Genomic DNA, 2948 nt, shown 5'->3' on the forward strand with positions numbered 1-2948 from the left:
ACCTTTGCAGTGAGTTTTCTACTTTCATATGTTTTCATAATGTTATTTAGCATCTTTCAGTTTTAACTTAAATCCTTTTAGCATTTCTTGTAGAGCAGGACTGGTGGTGACAAATTTCCTCATCTTTTGATTATCTTGGAAAGCCTTTCACTCCTTTATTTTTGAAGGACAGGCTTGCCTGGTATAGTATGCTTGGTTGCAGTTTTTTTCTTTAGTCCTTTGAATATATTAGCCCATTCTAAGATAGCCTGCACTATTGCTGCTGAGAATATTTCTTATAGCCTTATGGAGTTTACCTTGTATGTGACAGATTGCTTTTCTCTTGCTGCTTTTAAAATTCTCTTTGTCTTTGATTATTGAGCATTTGAATATAGTGTGTTGGTGAAGATCTCTTTATGTTTAATTTATTTGGAGTTCTTTGACATTCATGGATCAGAATGTTCATTTCCCTCTTCAAATTTGGGAAGTTTTCTGTCATTATTTTAAAAATAAGTTTTAGTCCCCTTTCTTTTTCTCTGCTACTTCAGGGACTCCCATAATGCACATATTGATTTGCTTGATGATGTCCTGTAAGCCCCTAGGCTTTCATCATTCTTTTTTATTATTGTCTATTTGTTTCTCTAATTGGGTAATTCAAATGACCCAAGTCTTTGAACTTGCTGCTTCTTTCTTCTGATTTAGTTTACTATTGAAGCTGTCTATGAAAATTTTCAGTTCATTTATTGTGTTTTTCAACATTAGAGTTTCTGTTTGGAGGTCAGGCACAGTGGCTCACGCCTGTAATCCCAGCACTTTGGGAAGCCGAGGTGGGCAGATCACCTGAGGTCAGGAGTTCAAGACCAGGCTGGCCAACATGACAAAACTCCGTCTCTACTAAAAATACAAAAATTAGCTGGGTGCAGTGGTGTGTGCCTGTAATCCCAGCTACTCCGGAGGCTAAGGCAGGAGAATTGCTTGAACTCAGGAAGTGGAGGTTGCAGTGAGCTGAGATCACACCACAGTACTCCAGACTGGGTGAGAGAGGGAGACTCCATCTCAAAAAAAAAAAAAAAAAAAAAAAAACAAAAAAACGGAATTTTTGTTTAGCACTTTTCTGTAGTTTTTTTTTTTTTTTCTCTTTGTTAAACCTCTTTTGTTCATGGACTGTTTTCCTAAATTCTTTTTGTTGTCTCTCTGTATTCTTTTGTACCTTGCTAAACCTTTTAAAGACAATTATTTCGAATTTTTTGTCAGGCAGTTTGCTGATCTCCATTTATTTAAGGGGAGTTACTTTTGCTTTTTTGTTGTCGTTGTTCATTTGTTGGTATTATGTTTCTCTAATTATTCATAATCATTGGATCTTATTTTGGTATCTGTTGAATTTGAAGAAGTAGGCACTTCTTCCAATCTTTATAGACTGTCTTCTGCAGGGAAAGTCCTTCACTAGTAAGTCCTTTCAGAGATTTTGAGTGTGCTGGCTGGTGGGGTCTGTGGGCTTGCCTGTGCCTTGGATCTATAGGAGTTAACTTGGTACTGCAGTGAGCTTGGAGCCTTAATCTGCAGGGACTGTCCTGGAGCTGTCGGAGCAGCCCTGGCACAGTGGCAGACCTGGAGCCTGAGTCTGCAAGGGCTGCCATTGTGCTGAGCCAGGCCTGGAGTCTGGGACATCAGGAACCATGCTGGATCCCAGGGCCATTATGGCACATTTGGTGCTAGGATGGGCTTGAAGACTAGGGTTGCAGAGATCAGTCTGGTGCTGGAAATTAGGCTGTGCAGCAAAGTTATTGAAAACTTTATTCTTTTTCTCCCAGGAGAGTATCTCTCTCTGTATTGTGTTTCATGGGCTTAGAGGAGGAGTTACATGATTAATGTAAAACTGTCCTTCCTATCCATTTCAATGTGTCTTTTCTTATTTCTATGCTCCACTCATGTGGTATAATCTCTCACCTGGATTTCTTAGCTCTTGTGAAGGTAATTTTGCATATAAATGGTTGTTTAAATTGATTTTTTTTTTTTTAGGGGCTAAGTCCTAAAAACTTCTATTCTGCTATCTTGCTCTCATTCTTTTTTATACCTATATAGCATTCTATTTCATGGATGTGCCATCATTTATTTAATTAAACCTCCATCTAAGGGGATTTTATTTTTGCAATGTTTTCATGATCAAAATATTTTAACAAATATCATTTATATATTATTTTCATCATGTGGGTTTCTATCTCTAGAGTATTTCTAAGGATACAAGTACTGGTTTAAAGAATATGTACATTTTGAATATTTTAACGAATGTTGATGAGAAACAAAATAAAGCTATATATTTCCACTAGCAATCATTGAGAGTGCTGGTTTTTCACACTTTGCTCAATAGAGTGTCTTATCAAAATTTTTGCTCTTTGACAAATACCAAAATGGTAATTCATTGTTGTTTTAATTTGCGTTCCTCTTTTTAAGGGTAAATATGGGTATATTTGCATATATTTAAGATTTATTTGCCTATTGTTTCTGTGACCTATTAATAAAATTTGACTATTTTATTGAGTTTTCATTTTGATAGACATTATTTATATATTAAATAATTAAAACCTTAGTGATATGAGTTATGAATTTTCCTCCAGTGTGTGATACATGTTTTACCTGATTAACGTGCTTATTTTTACAATGTACTTTTTATTTTAATGCAATAAAATTTAGCTTTCATTTGTTCTTTTTGTTGGATATTTCCCACTCTGAGATCATTTCTAAAATTCCCATTTTGTTTTATATAGTTTATGAATTAATATTTTACATTAAAATATTTGACACAAATATGTATTTTTCTATAATTAATAAATCCATGTTCTTTTTTTCAGTGTGGCTATGTAGTTTTCACAGCACCATTTATTTGAATAAGCTAATGTTTATCCCCTTATTTGAAGTGCTGTATTCATAATAAACTAAATTTCTAAATAATTTTGAGCCTACGTTTGAAC

At 34.7% G+C, this 2948-nt stretch overlaps 1 annotated feature.

Moving 5' to 3' along the window:
• Positions 1631-2155: an enhancer, noted in NCBI's record as "NANOG hESC enhancer chr11:28795368-28795892 (GRCh37/hg19 assembly coordinates)". NCBI's record gives its function as "activates a minimal SCP1, AML or CMV promoter by ChIP-STARR-seq in primed H9 embryonic stem cells {active_cell/tissue: H9 hESC(primed)}" and the evidence as "EXISTENCE:reporter gene assay evidence [ECO:0000049][PMID:30033119]".

The sequence above is a fragment of the Homo sapiens genome, chromosome 11, assembly GCF_000001405.40.
Source record: "Homo sapiens chromosome 11, GRCh38.p14 Primary Assembly".
In the NCBI taxonomy this organism is placed as follows: domain Eukaryota; kingdom Metazoa; phylum Chordata; class Mammalia; order Primates; family Hominidae; genus Homo; species Homo sapiens.